This window comes from Homo sapiens, chromosome 17 (assembly GCF_000001405.40).
Source record: "Homo sapiens chromosome 17, GRCh38.p14 Primary Assembly".
NCBI lineage: Eukaryota > Metazoa > Chordata > Mammalia > Primates > Hominidae > Homo > Homo sapiens.
The window spans coordinates 15668067-15694428 of NC_000017.11; the positions used below are offsets into that span (position 1 = coordinate 15668067).

The 26362-nt window shown below is 42.4% G+C and overlaps 1 protein-coding gene and 1 pseudogene across 8 annotated transcripts in view; one reads left to right on the forward strand and one right to left on the reverse strand.

The window, feature by feature from the left end:
* The window catches only part of TRIM16 (tripartite motif containing 16), a 56346-nt gene extending 40101 nt beyond the window's left edge, over positions 1-16245 (reverse strand). Inside the window, exons 1-6 of one of the 8 annotated variants that reach the window (NM_001348124.1) lie at positions 16130-16245; positions 14970-15091; positions 14788-14885; positions 12799-12887; positions 9509-9655; positions 9110-9211 (exon numbers count right to left, since the gene is read on the reverse strand). Coding sequence is in view for 3 of the 8 variants with exons in the window: in NM_001348121.1 (NP_001335050.1) it covers positions 12799-12887; positions 14970-15009 (129 nt within the window). In the remaining 5 variants the exon portion in view is untranslated. Of the gene's footprint in view, positions 1-9109; positions 9215-9508; positions 9656-12798; positions 12888-14787; positions 14899-14969; positions 15092-16129 lie in introns of those variants that run through there. The other 7 variants (NM_001348119.1, NM_001348125.1, NM_001348120.1 and 4 more) reach the window with 7 other exon arrangements.
* Positions 7410-7577, forward strand: ZNF29P (zinc finger protein 29, pseudogene; annotated as a pseudogene).
* Positions 16246-26362: the final 10117 nt, after the last annotated feature.

The following is a 26362-nucleotide window of genomic DNA, read 5'->3' on the forward strand; positions in this document are numbered from 1 at the left end:
TACAACTCCCTCCTCTCTGTATCTCACCCCGCACGATCTATCTGCTTCCGCTGCTCTGAACCCTGATTTCCACATCCTCCACTCCGTGGGACCACTGTGCTCTACATGGACTCCAGCTATCTGTGCCATGGTTGGAAGTAGTTCTAAGACAGAAAGTTGGGTGATCATGGGGTTCACCTCATGAGTTTCCCTCTGTCTGGGATCAGTAGTTCTGTGCTACCTATTGTTCACTGCCTGAAAATAGTTGTCTCATCTATTTTGTCATGTTGTATAGCAGTTTATGGTGGGAGGGCTAGCCTAGTACCAGTTACTCCATCATAGCCAGAAGCAGAAATCCAAAGAAAGCTTCAAAAAATATAAGTCTGATCATGTCACTTCTCTGGTTAAAATCTTTCCATGGCTCTAAGAATAAAGATCCAAATTTGAAAATGGCCCGTGGGGTCTTGTATGATCTGAGCCAAACCTGTGCTCCAGCGTCATTCCCCCTCTTCCTCAGGCCCTCGTTCCTTCCTTAGCCTCTGGCCTTCCTTCAGTCCCTTGCCGTTTTCTCCTGTCTCTAGGCTTTTGCACATGAAAACACACTTTTGCACATGAAAACACACCACCAAACATTCTTCCCATCCTTCTTCACCAACCAGCTACAAGCCACAATAAATAAAACACTGTGAAACTAGCACAGCATTAGATGGAACACAGTCCAAAAACAGATTCATATACGTATATATTTCAACTCAGTGAGAAAGGGAGGAATTATTCAATAAGGACAATTAGTTCAATTGGCTAGCTATGTTATCCTTAACTTATCCCATATTCAAAAAGAAACTTCAGACAAAGCATTAATAAGCAAAATGTATAAGGAACTACTCCAAATTGATAAAAAGAAAGCAACCCAATAAAAAGTGGAAAAAGGAAATGAAAAGGCAATTCATGGAAGAACTACAAATAACTGATAAACATAGAAAAATAAACATAGGAAAAGACATTCAACATTATTAAGAATGAAATATAATAAAATATATATTAAAAATAAAATCTTGATAGTATCCAATGTTTGGGAGAGAAAAAGGCACTCTGCTACACTGTTAGAGTATAAACTAGTACAGCCAATTCATCAATATTTTAAATGTACTCTGACCCAGCTCTCACATTTCCAGGAATCTATCCTACAGAAATAGCAGCATGACCACTGAATTGCCTCTATCAGTAAAAAAAACTGGAAAGAACCCAAATGCCCATTAATAAGAATATATAGAAATTATAGGACATCCATACGTCAGAACACAATGCATCCATTTAAAAAAATGAGATACCTCTAAATTATTTTTAAAGATGTCTAAAGTATAATGTTGAAAGTTATAAGTGAGTTGAAAAACAAACAGTACACTACTAGTTATGCATGCATACATATACACGCACAAGCAAAGAATCTAAAAAGATACACATCAATTCTAAAGGGTAGGATTTCAAGGGGGAACTCAGGAAGCCCTTTCTTTTACTTATACACTTCTACAGTATACTATTTGATTCTGTCACAAAGAATATTTCACTTTTGTAATGTAAAAAATGTTTAAGTGTACTTTTTGAAAAAGAGAATAGATTCGCTATTACAATCAACTGCTCACGGTGAACTACTGTAGTTTAACATTGCAGCAGGAGGCTGTACCACCACCTCGTGGGGATATACTGCCACAGTAAATTGGTTATCTAAAAATTCCTGAATCTCAGTGCTACTGCCGTTTTGGGTGGGACAATCCTTTTTTGTAGGGGCTGTCCCGTGCATTGTAGGATGATTAGCAGTATCCCTTGCCTCTATCCTCTAGGTGCCAGTAACACCCCCTCCCCCAATTGTGACAACCAAAACTCTCTCCAGACACTGGCAGTTGTCTCCTGGAGGGGGAAAATCTCCCCTGGTTGAGAACCACTAACGTGAAAGAATGAGTCTTGTGAGTGCAAAGTAGAGAAACAAAAGGTGTTCACTCATTCACTCATAAGAATATCACACCAGGTAAAGTCTTCATGAGATAATTCCCTCATGTCAGTTAGAATGAGTGTTCTAACCCACAGGTGCATGCACACAGAATTATTTTCATAGCTTGAAGATATTCTGCAGTTTAAATTCAGTAAGAAGAAAACCCATTTTCATCCAGTAAATCCCCAATTGCCACAGGGCAGAAGCAACAAGGATGCAAAGCCTGTCACATGTATCCAGACTCTATTCCCAGGCCCAGGGCAGGACTTCAAAGCACTCTGTACCATGGCCTCATCACAGTGCTCCAGTCAATAACTACCACTAAATGTAAACCAGCTCCCTCCTGTCCCTCAATCAGCCGCTAATTTCCCCCACGTCGAAGCGTCCCTATGCCCATTGCTCTCCCAGATGCTCTCTATGGTCTACATGTCACAGAAAGGTCTTTTTTTTATGCAGGGTTGGGAGGTCTGTGGAAGCTCAGCTCCACTATCCACTGCCCTCACCCCAAATAGCACGGGCATATCATTTAACCTTTCCAGATCTCCATCTCCTCACTTGCAAAATAAAAGGCCCATATTATATATTCAAAGTTCCCTTTGGTTCTAAAATCTATGAACAGGGATGATGACAAATGATCCACTGTAGGCTTTCTATACAATTGTAAGTATTTTCTCCACTGAAGATTATTCTACATACAATTAGGTTGGTGTTACTGGAATCTTTTTAATTTCTAGTGTTGGGGTCCTATAAAAACCGTGATACTGAATAAGCAAAGAATCCTAAGCCATGACTTCACTATACAGTTACTGTATTTCTAGGGTTTTGTTTTTGTCAGTGTGCATCATCTGATATCAATAATATACAAATGAATATTGTCTAATGTCTTCCCACTTTCACTATAGTCACATTTATTCCAGGACTAATATATGAAGCTGATTAAGGTTACGTGGAGTTTTTTTGGACTTGGATTAATCTGAAGTGCTTCTTTATTCACCGTGTTGCTGTATCCTAGCAATCTTCCTACTAGGATAAATTGGCATATCTTCTGATACAGTCAACTTTGGCAAACCAAGGAAAAACACTCAGGAAGAGGAATAAACTAGCACACGAATGAACTGACTGGGCCTCTAGATTCACTGAAGTCGTGCTCTTACACAAGGTTACTTCTGTAGTCAGCATGTAAGATGAAAACAGGGCAATACCAATATTGTCTTTATAAATCCTTGAATTTGCCCATAAAATACACCTAGTTTTGTGTATAGCTCTGATAATAACTCATGAATAGATAAATATAGAATTTTATATAGGTGTGCAAAACATAATTTTATAGTATTCTTAATTACACTAATTTATCTTTTGGTTTGGGGGGATATCTTGGTGCATATGGGTGAATTCTTGTTAAGTAAAATATAAGTATGAGATGATTTTTCCTGAGATGTTTATCTCAAGCCACTGTATTTTGCATAGATGACTCTTGGCAAAACATACCCAGCAGTCATCAAATATACGATATATATCTAACAGGTCAAAGTTCCTAGAAGAATGACTTTTCATTGAAAAACTCTATTTCACGTGATTTTTTTAACCGTATGCAAGTATTATTTTGTGTAAAATCAGCAACGAAAGCCCTAAACAAAGATAGGTTTCCCTCATCATGATGATAATGATGTTAAAATCATGATCCCTGATGATGTTAAGATTGAGAATAAGGCCGGATATTAGTATCAAACCAAAATTGTCATGTTTCATAGGCATATGTGAGTGATATAAATAGTAAGTAAGCAGCACTGGTATTCAGAGGAGGAGATTATTTTCAGTTACAGTGGCCAAGAGGTGAGGGTGGAGGTAATACCTTAAGCTGGGTCCTAAAGGAGACTAACTTGCAAAATGAAAAGAGTGATAACGTGACAACTGCCTCTTAACTTAAAGAAAACCTAAAAAGTATTAATGCCTCCTCCGAAAAGACAGAAAGCCCTACTTTAATCACTAAATATCTCTTCCTGCAATCCTCAAATCAAGCCTGGGGTCACCCTAGTTAGTTTATCACAACAGTGCAAATTATTCAGGATAATTTGCTTGGAGGAATTAATTTAACATATAAATTAATTTTCCCTTCATTGGACACATATCAGCCAAGCATACAGGCAATTTTAACATATAAGTTAGAAAATTAGACACTCATGATTTAAAAACTAAAGAATCCAGATTACCTACCAAAAAGAGATCAAAATATCAGAACATTTACTATCTAAAGCCCCAAATCAAACCCCCACCCCAGACTTTACCACAACCAAACAAACACACTGAGCTTTAGCTTAGGTTGTAAAAGGAGAGGAATTATATTCTCCATCATGAAGGGTAAGTGTGGTCTACACTACAGCCCACGAAAGAGAACCCTGTTATAGAAATATCCAAATGCTGGGCGTGGCGGCTCATGCCAGTAATGCCAGCACTTCAGGAAGCTAAGGTGGGCAGACTGCTTGAGCTCAAGAGTTCAAGACCAGTCTGGGCTATATGGCAAAACACCATCTACAAAAAATACAAACAAATTAGCCGGGTGTGGTGACGCTTGCCTGTGGTCCCAGCTACTCGGGAGGCTGAGGTGGGAGGATCAAGGATCCTGAGAGTTCAAGGCTGCAGTGAGCTGTGATGGCGTCACTGCACTCCAGCCCAGGCAATAGAGCAAAACCCTGTCTCAAACAAACAAACAAACAAACTAATCTGAGAGGAGAGCACAAGCATAGACCATACTACTAACAGTACAGTCAGAGTAAACTGAAACAAAACAAAAAAGGCTCTGTAAGTCCCAGAGTCATAATATTTCTAGAACTGTTCTGATTTCAAATATTTCATCACTATAATGTCCTCAAAATTTTAATATTTCTGGATCCAAATTATATTTAGGCTACAAGAGAATTATACCAATTCACTATAGTACAATCCACGAATTCATGCAATCCACCCATTCTAGGACAGACCTTTTGTTCAAGGACATCTGTCTTCAGTCTTTAGTTCTAAAATAAATTACCAAAGATGAGGACTCTGAAGGAACAACAATGGTTTCTACCAATCCAAAGCCAACTGGCTCCAGGAACTATGTTTGGAAATGACCTTGTTACCAATTGTTAACAAACATTACTTTAAGAAGTCTTATTCTAATGACAGACACTCTTATAGACGACCCTCCCCACCCCTTTTCAATTTCTTAAAGTTACGAAGGATTTTGGGCATTTCAAAAATTATTTCCAGATATCACCGTTTATTCAGAGTGGTCTGTCTCACCGCTAATTTTCAGAACAAAAATCCTTTCTTCTCTAACTTCAGTTGTGCCTTCTGTAATTCAAGCCCTGTTAAATTTCAAGCTGTACTAACACCGACTTCTTTAAACAGAAGAGAAGGATAGGAAAGCAGGTGAGGAGAGAGAGTTCAGAATAGCCCTTTTAGTGAGAAAAATAGAAAGCAGGGAAATCTCAGGTTCTGGCTAGTACACTGGGAATGATATGGGAAAGTCAAGGGACTCCAATCCTATACAATTGGATTACTCTCAGGTAACTGAAATGCATCTAAAACAGGAAGAAAAAAAAAAGGCAGGGAAAATAATTCATGGAAACCAAAAAAGTTACTCTAACATCAATTTAAGCTTAGGAAGATTTGAAAGAAAAAAAAAAGTTTGCATGTAAGTGTTGAGTCACAGCATAACCAAAAAATAATGCCTGGCTTTATTAGGTACACATAAAATTTCTTAGAGCCATATACAGAAATTTTCATCAGGCAGCCTCAAGTAACTTAATCTGGTGATAGTCTGATACAAATTCATATGACCATTTTTTTAAAAATGTTTTCTAAAAGTGTTGACTCAATCTTCCCTAACTCTTCTGTTGGGATTGCATAATAGTTACTATGTAAGGCTGACAGTTTCCAAGGTAAACGGTTCTTACTTTCTGAGAACTGATAGTTATAATTTCAGCCTTAAGGAAGGGGAAAAAAAAGAAAATTCTAAGAAAGGGGAGATGGAAAAAGCAAAATAGATTCCTCATCAACAGAAGACACAATAGGCCGGGCGCGGTGGCTCACGCCTGTAATCCCAGCACTTTGGGAGGCTGAGACGGGCGGATCATGAGGTCAAGAGATTGAGACCATCCTGGCCAACATGGTGAAACCCTGTCTCTACAAAAAATACAAAAATTAGCCGGGCATGGTGACGGGCACCTGTAGTCCCAGCTACTTGGGAGGCTGAGGCAGGAGAATCACTTGAACCTGGGAGGCGGAGGTCACAGTGAGCTGAGATCATGCCATTGCACTCCAGCCTGGTGACAGAGCAAGACTCCGTCTCAAAAAAAAAAAAGACACAATAACATTAAAGAGCTATTTTGAGATAAGTGAAAAAAGATTTCTGAAAAGGTAGATGTAACAGAGTTTGGCCCCATTTTTGATGTCTGGCCATTGACAGCATTTAAGTTTCCACCATTTTCTATTCTCCCCTCCCCCACACTGCCCCACCGCACACCTGGTGCTTTAGATAAAGAAATCCATGGGCATCTCCTGAGCTCCCAGCACTGGCAGGAAGCTTGAATCCCTCAAGCCCACAGATCGAATGCTCTCCAGCCCCATTCCCTAGCTACTTTAAAGGCCCAGCCTCCTCTCTGTTCTTGCCATTTTGGACCAGCTTTCATCTATCCTGCTCTCCCCAGAAACCCTGTGTATGAATAGTAAACTTTCAAGTTCTCTTAGTGTGTGAAATGTCATCAGTCTTGACATCTGGCCTATTAACTGAGTCCCTCATCTCCCGGGGGGTGATCACAAAACAGTGGGATGAGGTAAAGCAAACAAAAGCTGCCCACAGGAGGGTATGAGCTGGGGGCAGGAATGACTACAGATTAAGGCAAAGTTTTATAGGAAGGTGGTATTAGGATATGTAATTAGCTATGAGCTTCTTTATTTTGTTTGGACATGGCACTATTTCCATCAGTACAAGAAGGGGCAACAAGCTCAGTTCTGCACAACTAGAATTTCTTGGCTTATTCCTGAGGCCAGGGAAGGGGGGTAAAATCACTGCATGGTGACAGCAGTCATTTCAGGTACAGACAAAAATACACACATATACATATAAAAATTGAGCTTTAGAGTCTATTAGGCTAGTCCAGATTTCAGTTCAGTGTTTCTTCACTTGGATTTGTGATATTCTGATAGCTTTGCAAGAGAAAATAACCAGGGTAGGAGAGGAGGGATTTTCATCCCTTAAAATATAATAAAGCATCGCCACTGTAACAACCTATAAAAGTATAATTCTTTGGTATTTAACCAAATGAAGAGTCTGAGTGGATTTGTCCAGACATTCAGGGAGATTCTCCACTGTGAAGTCTCTGGTGTCTAATGAGGGCTGAACTACACGAAAGCTCTGCCACATTTATGTGACAGAACTCATACCGGAGAAAAACCCTACAAGTGTAAAGAATGTGGTGAAGCCTTCAGTCAGAGCTCAACTCTTACAAAACATATAAAGGTCTACACTGGAGAGAAACCCTACACCTGTAAAGACTGTAGGAAAGCCTTCAGCCAGAGTTCATCTCTTACCCAGCATCAGAGGGTTCATACTGGAAAGAAACCATTTGATTGTCAGGAGTGTGGGAAAGCCTTCAGTAGAAGCGCCCATGTTACCCAACATCAGAGGATCCACACTGGAGAGAAGCCCTGTGTATATACACATACGTATGTGTATGTATACATACGTATGTGTATATACACATACGTATATATACATGTGTATATACATATATATTTGCATATATAATATAAAAATATATATATTATATACTATACATATATATATACTTTTTTTTGCAGATACTTGAATGTTTGTGTTCGTTAGAGTTCTAGGCTCTCTTGTAACTCTTTTTGTGCTCTTTGGGTGATATTATCCACTCCCATGGCTTCAATTTCATCCATTCTCAGGCAACTCCCAAATCTGTACCCCCAGTTAAGATCTCTTTCCTTTACTAAGATACATTTGGCATGTCGTCCTTATATTCATCTAGCCTCCAGACATTACCACTTAGAGCAGGTTTTCTCAACTGCAGCACTGTTGCCGTTTTAGACAGACAAGTCTTTGTGTGGGGCCCCGTCCTGTGCATTGTAGGATGTTTAGCAGCATTCCTGGACTCCACTCACGAGATGCCCATAGCACACTTCAGACGTTGCCAAATGTCCCCCGGGGGGCAAACTTGCCCCTGGTTAAGAACCACTGGTTTAGACTTATTATAGACACTTCAAACAACTTAAGAGAAACTGAACTCATCTTCCACTCCCTAAATTTGCTACTTCTCCTGTGTTTTCCATCTCAGGGAAGAGAACTTCCATTCACCTACACATCCAGACCAGAAACCTGAGAATTTTTTCTTTTTTTTTTTTTTTTTTCTTGAGATGGAGTCTCGCTCTGTCACCCAGGCTGGAGTGCAATGGCATGATCTCGGCTCGCTGCAAGCCCCACCTCCTGGGGTTCACGCCATTCTCCTGCCTCAACCTCCCAAGTAGCTGGGACTACAGGTGCCCGCCACCACGCCCGGCTAATTTTTTGTATTTTTAGTACAGATGGGGTTTCACCATGTTAGCCAGGATGGTCTCCATCTCCTGACCTCGTGATCCGCCCGCCTCGGCCTCCCAAAGTGCTGGGATTATAGGCGTGAGCCACTGCGCCTGGCCGAAACCTGAGAATTTTCTTTGTTACTCCCTCACCTCTCAAATCTACACAACAAATTATGTCAATTTTATATCCTTAAAATTATTCAAATTCTTTCCTTCTCTTCATATTTCTTATATAGCAGAAAACTAGGTAGGATAAGGACAGAGTAAATGAAGAAGTGATTCCAGCTACTAAAGAGGAAATGGGAATAGCCTCATAAAATGCCTCAGGATGAGGCACAAAGCTGATCTCTGGATCATGTGTTGGGCTTATAACTTTAAGGAGGAAGTATCTCTTCCTTGAGTCTGGGAAGAAATAAAGAGGTAAGCTATTAGGATTCTGATGTGGTCAAGTGAAGATGAGACTGCAGGGGGATTCAACATTTTCTACAGGCCCGGAGGATTTGGGAAGAACCCCTAACTCTTATTTCTAAAGATGCAATCTGCCTTGTTCTCACTTACGTGTACCGCTGCTTCTTGGCACCTCTCCCTCCTGCATTTGTGTTCGTGGGCTTACCACTTCTTCCAACTAGGAGATGATACCAGGTTTGGAAAATGGAAATCCTACTGAAGAGATACAAACAGAATGTAATTTTAAGTTCAAAAGAGAAAGGACCACTCTATTCTCAGTCCCACTCTGTTGCATTTTAGAGAGGAGAAAACGAAATAACTAATTGTCAAAAGCAATTAAATAATTTCTACCCAAGTAGGGTGAGAAACAGTTTAAGGATCTGATCTGGATTCTGTGGGGGAAAATAACCAAAGCCTCATTTGTTACCATTCCCTAATAGAAGCAAGGGAATCTTTAGAAGGCAAAGGTATCCTGAAAGGTCAATCTGGGGTGGAAGGACCCAAGCTCACCCAAGGAGACCAGGTTCCTATAGTTCTCCAGCATTACATCCCTGTACAAGACTCTCTGAGCAAGGTCCAGTTCTCTCCATTCTTCCTAGTGAAGTTCACAGCCACATCCTTGAATGACATAAAGCCCTGAAACACCTGCATGGGGTTCTGAAGAAAAAGTTACATGAGGCATACTTAGGGGAGACTGATGGGATGGAGAGGAAATAGATTAAACTATGTTCACAGTGTCAAAGACAAGATTTTATTGACTCGTATATTAAAGAATCTTAAAATCTTAAAATGTGTATACCCCTCTGACATAATTTGATAGTTTTGTTTTACAGTAATTTTATATACAGAACTCAATTATAAGAAAACTATCGGCTGGGTGCAGTGGCTCACGCCTGTAATCCCAGCACTTTGGGAGGCCGAGGTGGGCAGATCACGAGGTCAGGAGATCGAGACCATCCTGGCTAACATGGTGAAACCCCATCTCTACTATAAATACAAAAAAAATTAGCCAGGCATGGTGGTGGGCGCCTGTAGTCCCAGCTATTCGGGAGGCTGAAGCAGGAGAATGGCGTGAACCCGGGAGGCGAAGCTTGCAGTGAGCCGAGATCACGCCATTGCACTCCAGCCTGGGCAACAGAACGAGACTGTGTCTCAAAAAAAAAAAAAGAAAACTATCAGAAATATGGAGAGTTATAAACAAAGAATCACATCTATTTATACCTTACAATAGAAAAATAGCAAAATCGTTCTAAATAACCTAAATGTTTGAGAACAGTGCTACGAGCTGCTAACTGTCCATGAAAATATGCCTCCTCCTCTCCTTTCTAGGTATACAAACATTTCCCAACCTCCTGTAGTTAGACCTGGCCATGAGATCCTAACCAATGGAATGCAAGCAGGAGTGATGTGCGCCCTTTCCAGGCCTGACTCACGTATGTTCCTCCATGCTGTTTTCCCCTTCTGACTGGCTGGTAGGGCCATGAGCCCCAGAGTGAGTTTGGAAGCCATATGGTAAAGAGGCTAGAGCTTCAGGTAGCTCAGGTCCCTGAATGGCCATCCTATCAATCTATATACCCACTCACATGGCTATGACAGCAAACAATACACTTCTATTGTATTAAGGCCATATATATTTTGGGTCTATTGGTTACAACAGTTATTAGTAAGCCAACCCAAACTAATTCAGAAATCAGCACCTTCAAGTGGGAGATATCATAATAAAAAGTTCAAATACACAGGTGGCATTGGATTGACAGTCAGGTGGCAAGCTTCAAAGAAAAGAATATTTACGACTGGAGAAATGCAGACTCTCCTTTTTTTTTTTTTTTTTGAGACGGAGTCTCACTCTGTTGCTGGAGTGCAGTGGCCACGATGCTCTCGGCTTACCGCAACCTCCATCTCCCATGTTTAAGCGATTCTCCTGCCTCAGCCTCTTGAGTAGCTGGGACTACAGGTGTGAGCCACCACGCCCAGCTACTTTTTTTTGTATTTTTAGTAGAAACGGGATCTCACCATGTTGTCCAGGCTGGTCACAGACTCCTGACCTCAGGTGATCCGCCCACCTCGGCCTCCCAAAGTGCTGGGATTACAGGCATGAGCCACCGCATCCAGCCAACAGATGCAGACTCTTAATATACACTGGCAAACTAATTAGCAACTATGAGGCCAGGGCAAATGCTCACTGGGCCTGTGGCTCTAGAACAGGTTGGAAAGCACCAGAACGCTCTTTGTGTAGAATGCTCCTGGATATGTCTGGCGAACAAAGAATGAGTTAAGTTCAGGAAACAATGTGTCAATTTTCAAGCCAAAACAAAAGAGAATAGAGTGCAGAAATCTGAGGCCTCACGTGGTTGGAAAAGCAAACTGTTTCTAGATCTCATACAGTGGGAAGTAAGTCTAACAAGAGCTTTGAGCAATAAAGGCCCATTACACCTGTTAACTAAACAAAGTGATTTAGCCCTGTAAAAAAAATGTCAGATTAAGGATGTGGCCTTCCCACCCAAGCCTATTGTTTAGCCGGCCTTAAGGTTATCTTCAGTTAAGTTGAGAGAGACACATGGTAAGTAAGAAACTAAGAAATAGGCCAAGCTGGCCGGGCGTGGTGGCTCACGCCTGTAATCCCAGCACTTTGGGAGGCCGAGGCGGGCAGATCACAAGGTCAGGAGATCGAGACCATCCTGGCTAACACGGTGAAACCCTGTCTCTACTAAAAATACAAAAAATTAGCCGGGCGCGGTGGCGGGTGCCTGTAGTCCCAGCTACTCGGGAGGCTGAGGCAGGAGAATGGAGTGAACCTGGGAGGCGGAGCTTGCAGTGAGCTGAGATCGCGCCACTGCACTCCAGCCTGGGCGAGAGAGCGAGACTATGTCTCAAAAAAAAAAAAAAAGAAAAAAAGAAATAAGCCAAGCTTGAGAATTATATCTAGGAAAGAACTTTGAGTATAAGAAGCCTTTAAGTTTTTGTGGAACAACACCTCTGTGATTTCAATGTACTGACTTTTTTCCTGTGCCAGAGGAATCAGTATCTTGCTTTGATTCTAAGTCATTTATGTCACTAACTTTCTATAAATCTTTCAAGAATTTACTCAGCTTTCAGGGCCCACATCAAATCTCACTACTTTCATTAGCCTAGGAGCTGCTTAAAAGGACTTTAAAATGCTAGTTGAATGAATAAAACCTTCCTAAATCTCTCTCAGCCAGACACATTTGCTCCTGCTCCTCCAAGTCCATACAGCATTTTCCCTAAGACACTTTATATTGAGTAGGCCCTTAATAATAAGGCCCTATTTAATAATAATAAATCTGCTGGTTTGTGCCACACAGATTTGTGTACATCTTTTCTCCCCAAAATATTCTAAGCAGATGCAAGCAAGAAATGCCTCACGTGCCTTTGCATATCTATGCCAAATGTCTCAAGTGAACAAAAAGAAGCTTGATTCTTACCCAACCATGTTCTAGGAGTCACGCTCCTCAATTATCTGCTAAAGAGGCCTCATTCCCATCCTGCCCCTACCATCCTTTCTCTACACTGCCAACTGATGGGCGAGGCTACCAAGCCTCCTGACCTTCACTGCTACTGCCATACAACTGAGGAACACGCAAACACCATCTCATTGGCAGTCCATCCCACCTGCTTGATCCTTTCCTTTCAAACTGCTGTGGCTAATGTGGTTGACAAGCTTCATGCTAAGAGAAAAAAAATTTGCTTCAGGAATTAAAATAAGATTTCTGAGAAGAGAGGAAAATCCCCAACTCAATTAAAATAAAATTTCCAAGAAGAGAGGAAAATCCCCAACTCACCTGGGACTCTGCTGTCCGGCAAAGAGCAGCCATATTTTCCTTCTTAAGATACCCCTTTTGGGAAAGGGCAGGGTCCTCAGAGGGCAGAACTGGAAGGAAATTGACATAAAGGAACCTGGTTTATCTTTATGTATCTCAAACCTATGAATTTAGAAACAGCCACTTATGAGAAAATGTGCCTCTGACCTTGGCTGTCCATAGCTTGAAGGATTTTACAGACATCTATGTAATGAGACTTCAAAGATAATCTCAGAGGATAGAATGAACATAAACTCAGGGAAAGGTATGACCATTAACTGGGCTCAGGATCTGCGTGAGCCACTGCTCTGAAAACGAGGTTCCCTGGGACCAAAAAACCCTAAAACAAAACAAGAAGTGCAATGTTACAGTTGGAGAGGTGCTTAAAGACCTCCAGGCTCAACTCCTTTATTCGCAAATGGAGAAAGTGACCAATTTTGTAGAACAAGAAAAAGGGAGTCACAGCAGCAAAAGACAGCAGTGCCCACCCCAGCAGTCATGGTCACAGACACCTTTAGCCACCCCATCGTGAGTATTCCAGGCCCACGGTGAGTCTGTGGCCATCTCAGGCCTGTTAACACCACACACGCTCCACTAAATTGTATGTGTCGTATCATTCACCACTGCATCCTAAGCACTGAGCACGGTGTACTTGGCAGACAGCAGTCCCTAAGTATTGTGAATGAATTAATGAATGAGCCCTAAATTCCCTTGGTCTGAATTCTATGCCCAACAAGCAACCTTCTGCTCATAATTTACTTCTCCATTTTGATTTTTTTGCCTGTAGGGAGAGAACTGCTGATGCTATTACCTTTGAGCATTTCTTTGCGCTTATCTCTAGGTAGTAGGGTTACATGCTATTTATCTTATTCTACATATCATTCTATATTTTCCTAATATTTTACAGTTTATTATTTCTTCAATCCTCTCTCCACCCATCTCCAAAAAGCAGTACTTAAACCTCCTTGTGGATTTGTTTGGGGGAAGAAGTAGTTCTTTTAGGCCTCAGTTATTACCAAGTACAGGGTTTCACAATTTTGTAGAATTCATGCCTCCTGTAATCCTTTGTCATTGGAACTCTGGCTCTGGAGTCTGCCTGCCTACTGCCTTTACATCCTGGCACTGTGTAACCATAGCCAAGTTTCTTCTGGGCTTCATTTCCTAATTTTACAAAAGAGAATAATAATGGTACCTACGTTGCTACAATGTGTGTTAATGCACATAAACGGCCCAAACCAGTACCTGGTACAGAATAAGCACTCAGGAAAGGTCATTTAATCATCAGTTAATTATTATTCTCAATATTTTCTGCATATCAACATTAACCAAGACTTTATGGCGCTTTCTTTCTATACTTTGTTTTACGAGGAAAAAAAGGTATGATCAATATGTTTGGTCATACTCCCAAATCCCAACTTCCCCACAAGATGCCTGTCCCCTCCCTGTACTGGACACTGACAATCAGTCGGGGCTAAGGTAGAGTTAGGAACTCCTAAGTTCCAGGACTTCCAGAAATCAGAGGGCCTGAGGGCAGGATATTATAGGAAAGTCAAACAGACTAGAGATAGACTATGGAAGTCCCTTCTAATTTGGGGGATCCCTTTGTATCTCCTTAAGACAAAGCGCTTTTTAAGAGAAAACTGAAAGAGAACCAAGGAGCAGTCTCTAATTCTGCCAGAAATGAGCAGCAGGGCCATGGACCCTGGGGACGCAGGCCCCAGCTCTAGCCCTGAGCTCATAGAGGTTCAAGGGACTAGGGCTCTCCCATGTGCTATAATGCCAAATCAAATCATCAGCCTCTCCATACCTATTTCTTTCTTCTCTTCCAAGGAGTCCGACTTATCCCCCCTTATCCTTCAGAAAGGCAGGTGGTATAATGGAAAGAGTACGGAAGTAAGGTATCTTCTTTTTTCAGAGTTTCAAATTAAAAGGGAATATTAGTAAAATCACCACCATTCTTCGCACACTCACCACGCACCAGGTGCTTTCCATAAATCAGTATTCACAGATGAGGAAACTGTTAACTTGCCCAAGTTCTCTGTGCTGCCCACACACATTTTACAAGGTTGCTGTAAAGAAAAACTAAAATGAGGTTGTGTGTGCATACTGCAGATTCTTGGCTAATGGCAGGACCCTTTATTTCTATTTCTTACCTCTGTTCTGGAGTTTGCAGGTCCAATCCTCCATAATCATAGCCTTTGCTTCACTATTTGGGTGTAGCAACCTTTCCGTTCTCCACGTATCTTCCTGGAAATTGCCAGCATTCTACCAGAAACTGTGGTAAGAGGTTCTGGATTGAAGTTTTCCCCTTTTTCATTGTATTTCTTTTTTCATTCTCTGAGACTCTACTCAGAACGCAGAGTCTGACGCAGTATCTTTTGAGCTAAAGCTAAACTCAAGAACTTCGGCAGCCATTTAATCTTCAGGAAGCCCTGAACACAGGCAAGTCTCAGTACCTTTATACCACTAGGGCCCTGCAGAGTCAGACACTGGGAACATAGACAGTTACAGACAACAGTAAGGATACTGTGCCTGATGAATACAAAAGTGCAGGGTGGTGGAAAGTGCCCTGCTGGGAGTGCCTGGATTCTAATTTCCACTATGTGCTAGTTGGCTGGGTGACCTACAACAAGCTACTTTTCATTCTTGGGTGTTTCCTTCTTACGTGCAAATGGGCAGATGGATGCCTACTATTAATAAAAGCAACAACTGATTGATCCCTTACTTGGTGTCTGGCCCTGTGTCAACTGTTGCATGTCAAAATTCCATTTAATCCTCACAACCACCACTTAATAGTAGGTACAACAAACCTCAAATTACAGGTAAAGAACACGAGACACAGAGAGTAACCTGCCTACGCTCACATCAGAGCAATACCACTCTCTGAAAATGTGGATAAACAGATCTCTGATATCCATCCCCTCCTACGTTCACACTTCAGTCTATGAAACGGTTCCACCACACTGCAGGCTGCAGAGACATAAGGGACGCGTTGGTGCCTAACCTGGCCCTGGTACAGGAGCCTTGGGCGCTACCTGCCTCACTTTGCAACCAAATGCTCCAGGGTATGCGGGCCCTCAGCCGGTTTCCAAGCAAACGACCCAGAGGTGTCTCGGATAAGAAACACACATACACCCCACTCCCACACACACAAAACCCAAAGACACGCTCCAGGGGCAGAGGGGGCGCGTCAAGGTGGCCGAACCCTAGCTCCAGCAGAAGGAATTACAGTCAGATCAGCGGGCCCGGGGAGAGACCCAAAAGGGAGCAGCCGGGACCCCAAGTCTGACAATCCACTGCTGAACACACACACCCTGTCCAGCGTCTGCTCCTCCCCGGTCCAGACACAGAGAGGGTGTCTGCTCTGGGGGACAGGGAGGACACAGACTCGCCACGCGCGGAGATCCTCCAGAGAAAGGGGCCGGAAACGGAAGTGCGCGCCGAGGCTCCTGGGAAATGTAGTCCGGAGCGGCCCGGGCGACAGAGCGAGATTCTCTCTCAAAACAAAAACAAAACAGAAAAACTAAACAATGTTAAAAGTGAAGTTATAGAGCGGAAATTTTTTTTTCTTTGAGACCGAGTCTCGCTCTGTCGTCAGACTGGAGTGCAGTGGCGCGATCTCGGCTCACTGCAACCTCCGCCTCCCGGGTTCAAGCGATTCTCCTCCTCAGACTCCCGAGTAGCTGGGATTACAGGCGCCCGCCACCATGCCCAACTAATTTTTTTAATAATTTTAGTAGAGACCAGGGTTTCACCATATTGGCTAGGCTGACCTCGAACTCCTGACCTCAGGTGATCCACTCACCTTGGCCTCCCAAAGTGCTGGGATTACAGGCGTCAGCCACCACGCCTGGCCCAAAAATTGTTTCTTATGCTTGATCTAGTCTGTTGTTAGAGTCTTGATTGTATTTTTCATTTAATTCATTGGATTCTTCAGTTCTAAGTTTTCTGTGTGGTTCTTTTTTATATCTCTGTTAAATTCCTCATTCAAATTATGAATTTTCTTGATTTCATTGAATTGTGTAACTGTATGCTCTTGAATTCCACTGTTTCCTTAAGATTATTATTTTAAATTCTTTTTCTGGAACTTTGTATATTTTCTTTTTTTTTTTGAGACAGAGTCTCGTTCTGTCGCCCAGGCTGGAGTGCAGTGGCGCAATCATCTCTAGGCTTACTGCAAGCTCTGCCTCCCGGGTTCACGCCATTCTCCTGCCTCAGCCTCCTGAGTAGCTGGGACTACAGGCGCCCACCACCACACCCAGCTAATTTTTTTTTTTTTTTTTTGTATTTTTAGTAGAGACAGCATTTCACCGTGTTAGCCAGGATGGTCTTGATCTCCTGACCTCATGATCTGCCCGCCTCAGCCTCCCAAAGTGCCAGGATTACAGGCGTGAGCCACCGCGCCCAGCCAGAACTTTGTATTTTTTCTTATGATTGGCATCTGTTACTGGAAATTATTGTGTTCTTCTGGAGGTGTTGTGCTCCTTGCTTTTTCATGTTTCATGTGTTTCTACATCTTTCTTTCTTTCTTTCTTTCTTTCTTTCTTTCTTTCTTTCTTTCTTTCTTTTTCTTTCTTTTCTTTCTTTTTTTTGACAGAGTCTTGCTCTGTCAGCTGGAGTGCAGTGGTGAGATCTTGGCTCATGGCAACCTCTGCCTCCCGCGTTCAAGGGATTCTCCTGCCACAGCCTCCGGAATAGCTGAGATTACAGGCATGTGCTGCCATGCCAGGCTAATTTTTGTATTTTTAGTAGAGACAGGGTTTCACCATTTTGGCCAGGCTGGTCTGGAACTCCTGAATGAACTCAAGCTATCTGCCCATCTCAGCCTCCCAAAGTGCTGGGATTACAGGCGTGAGCCACCGCACCCAGCTCTACACTGATTTATACACATATGATGAAACAATCACTTCTTCCAATTTCATGGAGTAGGTTCTGTAGGGAAAGATTTATTCATATGGGTCTTGGGGTGTTGCTTCAATGGAGTGTGTTGGCTTTTGTTCTAGGTGGATACAGTAGTGTATTATCTATGTAAGTTTCTTCAGCAGTAATACATGCTAGTGATGGGCCGGGCGTGGTGGCTCACTCCTGTAATCCCAATCCTTTGGGAGGCTGAGGCAGGTGGATCATGAAGTCAGAAGTTCTAGATAAGCCTGGCCAAGATGGTGAAACCCCATCTCTATTAAAAATACAAAAATTAGCCAGGAGCGGTGGCAGGCACCTGTAATCCCAGCTACTTGGGAGGCTGAAGCAGGAGAATCGCTGGAACCCAGGAGGCAGAGGTTGCAGTGAGCCGAGATCATGCCACTGCACTCTAGCCTAGGTGACAGAGAAAGACTCGGTCTCAAAAAAAAAATGCTAGTGACATTTGTGAATGTCTCAGTGGCCTAGGCTAAGAGGTGGTGATGGCGGTCGTGTGGCTTTTGCACAGGGCTATTTCTCAAGTCAGGGGCTCATTTGTGTACATGGTGGGTCAGCCAACTTGAGGTTTGGCTCACTGGGGTTGGGGCTATGGGACTGTTAACTCTGGGTGGGGACACGAATGCATTGTTGCTTGGCTAGCCTACAGGGTGCCTGCCAGTGATGGCCTGTGGCACTGTTTCTCAGACCCTGGACACAGGAGCACAGCTGCTTGGCTGTCCTGGGAACATGTCTTCTAGGCGAAGCCTGTGGAGCTGTTATTTAGGCTTGCAACAAAGGCACAAAGCTGCTTGGCTGGCCGGGAGATGTGTGTCCTGGAGTGGCCCATGGGACTGTTTCTCAGGCCTGGGATGTAGGCACACTGCTCAGCTGACCTGGTCGGGGTGTCTGCCTGGGGCAGCCTGTGAAGCTGTTTCTCAGGCCCTGAACATGGACACATGGCTTCTCAGCTGGCCTGGGTGCATGTCTGCTAAGCATGGCCCACAGGGTTTTTCTCAGGTTCAGGATGTGGGCTCATAGCTTCTTGGTTGGCCAGGAGTGGCCTGAAAGGGTTTTTCAGGCTGGCAATGTGGGGGTACAGCTACTGGATCAGCCTTAGAGTGTGCCTTCCAGGGGCACCCTGTGGGATTGTTTCTCAGGCCTGGGACGTGGTTGGACAGCTGGTCAGCCAGCCTGAAGGGCATGTCTGCAGGAAGTGAGCCACAATGCTGCATCATAGGCCCTGATCACGGGTGTGGGGGCTTTGGGTAGGACAGGGGCATGTCAACAATGGGAGTGGGTACCACAGGGTTGTTTCTCAGGCTGTGGGCACAGGAGTATAGACATTGTGCTGATAGGGCAGCATGTCAGCTGCTTAGTGGCTCAAGGACATCTCCTGCTTTGTAGAGGGTGGTCAGCAGTTTGGCTGGCTCAAGAGCATATTTGCCCTGGGTGGGCTTGCCACATAGTTCCTCTGTCTCAAAGTGCAGATGGTTGGGGTCGTCTTCTCTGTTGCACAGGACCAGAATCACAGTTGATCCTAAGCCCAATCTATGCATAGTGGGATTATGGAGTTTAGCCATCCTTGTGAGATTTGTAGAAAGAAGATGGAGCCCTGATGCCGCAGAGGTGCAGTGGCTACTGACCCCATAGGATGGTGCACTCCAGAGGTGGCTATAGTCTCAAGATGGCACAGTGCTGCTGATGCCACAGCTTGACTCACAGTGGGTGAGTGGAGGTTGGGAGCACACACTTTCTGTTCCTAATCCAGAGCAGTGTGGTAGCAAGAATTTCAGACAGCTCTCAAAACTAGGCTCAGGGCTTTCAAGGACTGTGGCATTCTCCTGTAGTAAGGACTGTGGGTAAGGCAATGGGGGCTGGTGGAGTTGTTCTGCTTACCCTTTTCCTGTAAGGGGAAGTCCCTCCTGTCTCCAGGCTGATTGAAGCTGGGTGGAGCAGATGGGGCTGCAGAGGCTGGGTAACTCTGCACTGCTCTCCTGGATTTCCAATCACCTCAGCTGCCTCTCCACTCCCTCACTGCACTCCAGTGCTTTCCCTTCAACATTTCAGTAAAATTTTAGCTGTTTTACCTGTTTATTCATCGCCTTGGTCCTTCCTGGATAGGAGGAGCGGGAGCAAGATCCATACATCTCTAGTCAGCCATCTTGCTCTATTTCCAGCTCTTCCTTTGTTATAAACTTTCCTTAATCTAAATTAAGAAATTAACTTTTAACCTAATTATGAACAGATATTGAATGTTATCAATGATTTCTATTGAGTTAGTTATTTGGTTTTACTTTTCCTTAAGAATCCATTAATGTAGCAAATTTCATATCTAGATTTTCTGATGTTAAAATCAACTTGATCATGATATAGGTTAAATTCAGTTGGCTGGCCGGGTGCAGTGGCTCACGCCTATAATCCCAGCACTTTGGGAGGCCAAGGCAGGTGGATCACCTGAGGTCAGGGTTCAAGACCAGCCTGACTAACGTGGTAAAACCCATCTCTACTAAAAATAGAAAAATTAGCTGGGAATAGTGGCTGGCGCCTGTAATCCCAGCTACTCGGAAGGCTGAGGCAGGAGAATTGCTTGAATCCGGGAAGCAGCGGTTGCAGTGAGTCGAGATCATGCCATTGCACTCCAGCCTGGGTGACAGAGTGAGACTCCGTCTCAAAAAAAAAAAAAAAAAAAAAAAATTCAGTTGGCTGGCCAGGCGCAGTGGCTCACACATGTAATCCCAGCACTTTGAGAGGCCAAGGCGGGTGGATCACAAGGTCAGGAGATCAAGACCATCGTGGCTAACACAGTGAAACCCCATCTCTACTAAAAATACAAAAAAAAAAAAAAATTAGCTGGGCATAGTGGCAGGCGCCTGTAGTCCCAGCTACTCAGGAGGCTGAGGCAGGAGAATGGCATGAACCGGGGAGGCAGAGCTTGCAGTGAGCGGAGATCGTGGCACTGCACTCCAGCCTGGGCAACAGTATGAGACTCCGTTTCAAAAGAAAAAAAAAAAAGAGGCCGGGCACGGTGGCTCACGCCTGTAATCCCACCACTTTGGGAGGCCGAGGCAGGCGGATCAGGAGGTCAGGAGATTGAGACCATCCTGGCTAACACGGTGAAACCCCGTCTCTACTAAAAATACAAAAAATTAGCCGGGCGAGGTGGCGGGCGCCTGTAGTCCCAGCTACTCGGGAGGCTGAGGCAGGAGAATGGCATGAACCTGGGGGGCAGAGTCTGCAGTGAGCCGAGAGACTCCGTCTCAAAAAAAAAAAAGAAAGAAAAATTCAGTTGTCAGTTGGCTAATATTTTATTTAGGTTTTGTACTTATGTCCATAAGTAAAATTGGCTTATAATTTTCATTTTTATTCCTTGTATTATCTTTATCCATTTTAAGAACCAAGTTTATATTAAATTACTAAAATAAATCTGGCCGCTTTATCTCTTTTTATTCCTCTGAGTTGTTTTAGAACACCTTTTATATAAGATAGAGAAGATCAGTTCATTGAAAGTTTGGTAGAATTTGGAGTGTGGCCCCATATTTTAATTTCTTTTATGGTAATTGAGCTATTGAAGTTTCCAATTTCATTTTGTACCTTTTTATTTCTTTCATATTTTCCTAAACTTATCTACTTCATCTACGCTTTCAAATGTATTGGTGCTTAATAATGTCCGTTGTGCCTCTCTTTCTGTTTATTCAATCTACAGTTGTATAACTTCATCTGCTCTCTTAAATTCATCATTCTCATTTGAAGTTTGTGCATCTTATTAATCTATTCATTAAACCAACTTTTATCTTTGTTTGTTTTAAGATGGAGTCTCGCTCTGAAGATGGAGTCTTGCTCTGTCATCCAGGCTGGAGTGCAGTTGCGTGATCTCAGTTCACTGCAACCTCTGCCTCCCAGGTCCAAGCGATTCTCCTGCTTCAGCCTCCTGTGTAACTGGGATTACAGGCATGTGCCACCATGCCCGGCTAATTTTTGTATTTTTAGTAGAGATGGGGTTTCACCATGTTGGTCAGGCTGGTCTTGAACTCCTGACCTCAGGTGATCCACCCACTTCAGCCTCCCAAAGTGCTGGGATTACAGGTGTGAGACACCATGTCCAGCCCAGCTTTTGGTTTCAATAGTCTTTTTATTGGTTTTTGTGTACATGACTTCCTTGATTTTTGAGCATTTATTATTTCTGTATTTCGTATTCCTTTGGCTTAACCTGCTCCTTGAATAAACTTCTTAGCTCACTTGTTTCCAATTTTTCTTAAATGAATTTAAATTATAAATATTTTCTAAATACTCTTCTAGACGTACTCTAACATTTCTGAATAACTTGTGATTCAGGTTTAAGTATTTTGTAACTTCTTACACTATTTTCTCTTTAACCCCAAATTTACTTAGTATTGTGGGGTTTTCTTTATTTTTGTTTTTAATATTCAGAAAAAGTTTTAGCTCTCTTTTCTTTTTGATTTCTAATTTTATTGCATATCTTCAAAGAGCAATAGATCTGTGCTGTCCAAAATGGCAGCCAATATAGCCATGTGTGTACCAAGCACTTGAAGTGCGCCTAGTCTGAATTGAGAAGCATTGTAAGTGTAAAAAACACCTCCAAATTATGAAGACAGTGCAAACAATATAAAGTATCTTATTGATAAGTTTGATATTGATTACAAGCTAAAATAAAATATATTGGACATGTTGGGTTAAACAAATATGTTTATGTAATTAATTTCACCTCTTTTAAAAGTTTTTAAAATAGAGTAACTAGGCCGGGCGCGGTGGCTCACGCCTGTAATCCCAGCACTTTGGGAGGCCGAGACGGGCGGATCATGAGGGCAGGAGATCGAGACCATCCTGGCTAACACAGCGAAACCCCGTCTCTACCAAAAAATAAAAAAAATTAGCCAGGCGTGGTGGCGGGTGCCTGTAGTCCCAGCTACTCGGGAGGCTGAGGCAGGAGAATGGCAAGAACCTGGGAGGCGGAGCTTGCAGTGAGCCGAGATTGTGCCACTGCACTCCAGCCTGGGTGACAGAGCGAGACTCCGTCTCAAAAAAAAAAAAAAAAAAAATAGAGCGACTAAAAATTAAAATTACATATGTGGCTTACATTATATTTCTCTCTATATATAGTGGTATTGATGCATGTGAATTATTTTAAATCTCACTGAAGAATCATCTGTATTTTAGCATATGGTCAACTTCCCTGAATAATGCATGCGTGCTAGAAAAGAATGTATATTCTCTGTTTGTTGCATGTAAAGTTGCATGTAGACCTATTATCTTGAGATTCATAATCCTGTTATTGAAACTCCTAAAGCTCTCCTTCCTTTTATCTTCTTGATATATTGGTTTTTCAGAGGATTATGTAAAATTTTCCTACTATAGTTATTGATTTTTCTTTCAGTCGTTATACCTTCTTGATTTCACATTCCTTTTATAAGTTTATAATGTGTCCAGACAAGGTGTTGTAGATTTATTTTTCCTCGTTCCTTCCTGCTGATTACTATGAACACTAGAAATAACAAACAAGAACTCTTGACAGGTAGGAAAAGGAAATTGGACTGGGTAGACAGGGACCCCAGGACTGGAGGAACATCATGTTAGTGGGGCATCTTATAACCCCAAGCCTAGCAATAGAAGATGGCCCACGTAGACTTATTCCTCCCCCTGTGGAACAAGGGCCCCACTAACAACACCAGGTAGGCCTGGAGGGATTGATTGGAAACCCCACTAACCATAAGCAGCCAGAGGGGATCCCATCAGGCCTGAGACTCTCCTCTCCCATCTAGAGCAACAGGTGGATGGGCAGTACCATCACAGGGGACCTGCCACAGCAATCACAAGCCCAATCAGACCTGGGAATTCCTATTCTCCCACCCCAAACACACAGACACACTCTCTCTCTCACACACACACACACACACACACATACACCCCTAGAGACACCAGGTGGTTGGTTAGTACAGGCAGGTGGAAATCCCACCATATAGAGATAGAGGACTCCACACAGGAAGCACTCTACTTCCATATGGACTGAAGAATCCCTTTCCCCACCTTGGCCTAGACTGGGCAACCTCTTTCCACTCATTCAGGCAACACCAACAGGGATCAGTAGATAACCCAGAGCGGACCAAAATAGTGACACAAAGGTTCTGAAGACTAAATAGTCACTGGAAGCACAGCCCACCACAAAAAGTAGACCAAGGCCTGTATACTATATACTAAACCTAAATAAATCTTCTAAAAAATGAAAGATTTAAATAGAACCCAAAGTGTCTTAATATCCAGAAATCAATCCAAAATTACCCATCATCCCAAGAAATAGGAATATCACAACTTGAAAGACAAAAGACAATCAACTAATGCTTATAGTGAGAAGAATCAGATTCTGGAATCATCTTGTCATGAGGGTTTAAAGCAGCCATCATAAAAAACAGTTTCAGTAAGAAATTACAAATTTTCTTAAAACTGATGAAAAAATAAAAAATCTTAGCAAAGAAATATGTTATAAAAAAAGAACCAAAATAAAATTATGAAATTAAAAATATACAATTACTAAAATATTTAAAACTCACTGGATGGGCTTGATAGTAGAGTGGAGATGACAAATAATAGAACCAGGGAACTTGAGGAGAGATCACTGTAATTTACCCAATCTGAACAACAAAAAGAAAATGGACTAAAAATAAATGAACACAGCCTCTGGACCTTTCTTTGGGACAATGACACAAGATCCAGGAATCTTAACATCAGAGTCCCAGGAGAGAAAAAAAAGAGTAGGACTGAGAATATTTAAAGAAAAAGCAGAAAATAATTTCCCAAATCTGGTTTATGTTCCAAATTATGAAAGACATATACTTACAGATTCAAGAAGCTGAACAAACCCCAAATAAAGTCAAATAAATTCCTACCAAGACACATCATAATTAAAATGCTGCAAACTAAAGATAAAACAACTATTAACAGCAGCAGACAGAAATGTTTCCATTACATCCAGGGGAACACCAATTTGATGACACCAGGTTTCATGTTTGAAATCATGAAGTCCAGAAACAAATAACACATTCTTTAAGTGCTGTCAACTTGAAGAAAAAAAGAAAAGGAACTGCAAACTGTGAATTGTATCCAGTGAAATTATCCTTCAGGAATGAAGAGGAAATCCAATCATTCTCAAATGTATGTAAACTACAAGAATTTGTCGCTATCAGATTTAGCCTTAAGGAATGGTTAAAGGAATTTCTCTAAACAAAAAGAATATAATAAATGAAAGTATCATGGAGTATCAGGAAGCAAGGAAGGAACAATAGAAAAAGTAAAAATAAGGTCAAATACAATAGGTCATACCTCTTCTCAAATTTTACAAAATAATGTCCATTTTTTGTCCATTATAATGTTTTTTTAATCTTGAGTTTAATTTTTTTTTTTTTTTGAGATGGAGTCTCGCTCTGTTGCCTAGGCTGGAGTGCAGTGGTGCAATCTCGGCTCACTGCAACCTCCGCCTCCCAGGTTCAAGCAATTCTCCTGCCTTAGCCTCCCAAGTAGCTGGGACTACAGGCACCCACCACCACGCCCAGCTAATTTTTGTATTTTTAGTAGAAATGGGGTTTCACTATGTTGGCCAGGCTGGTCTCAAACTCCTGACCTTGTGATCCTCCCACCTCAGCCTCTCAAAGTGCTGGGATTACAGTTGTGAGCCACTGCACCCAACCAAATTTAATTTTATTAATAATAACATTGTTATCTGGCTATTTTTTGTTCATATTAGCCTGGTTTATATTTTGTAATAACTTGGATTTTAATATTTTTGTTTTGCTTGAATTCCAATGTATGTTTTGAAAAAAAATAATGCTGCATTTTGTTTTTTTTACTTATTAGTTTTTTTGTTTTTTTTTTTTTGAGACAGAGTCTCGCTCTGTCACCAGGCTGGAGTGCAGTGGCACCATCTCAGCTCACTGCAACCTCCACCTCCCGGGTTCAAGTGATTCTCCTGCCTCAGCTTCCTGAGTAGCTGGGACTACAGGCGCCCACCACCATGCCTGGCTAATTTTTGTATTTTTAGTAGAGACAGGGTTTCACTATGTTGGCCAGGATGGTCTTGATCTCTTGATCTTGTGATCCACCCTCCTCGGCCTCCCAAAGTGCTGGGGTTACAGGTGTGAGCCACCGTGTCTGGCCCTACTTACTAGTTTTTAATCCAAATGGAGATTCTCAGCCTTTTGATAGATAAGTTTGACCCATTTACATTTATCGTGATAAATTATATTATAGGTCTTATTTTGTGTTTTCTTTTCTTTTTTTGAGACAGGGTTGTGTTTTCTCTTTTCCATACTTTCTGTTTCTTCTATTCCTCTTCTCTCAGTTTCCATGGAATAATCACTTCTTTTCATTTTTCTTTTTTTTTTTTTTTCTTGGAGATGGAGTCTCACTCTGTTGCCCAGGCTGGAGTGCAGTGGCATGATCTTGGCTCACTGCAACCTCTGCCTCCCAGGTTCAAGTGATTCTCCTATCTCAGCCTTCCAAGTAGCTGGGATTACAGGCATGCACCACCATGCCTGGCTAGTTTTGCATTTTTAGTAGAGACGGGGTTTCTGCATGTTGGTCAGGCTGGTCTCAAACTCCCAACCTCAGGTGATACACCTGCCTTGGCCTCCCAAAGTGC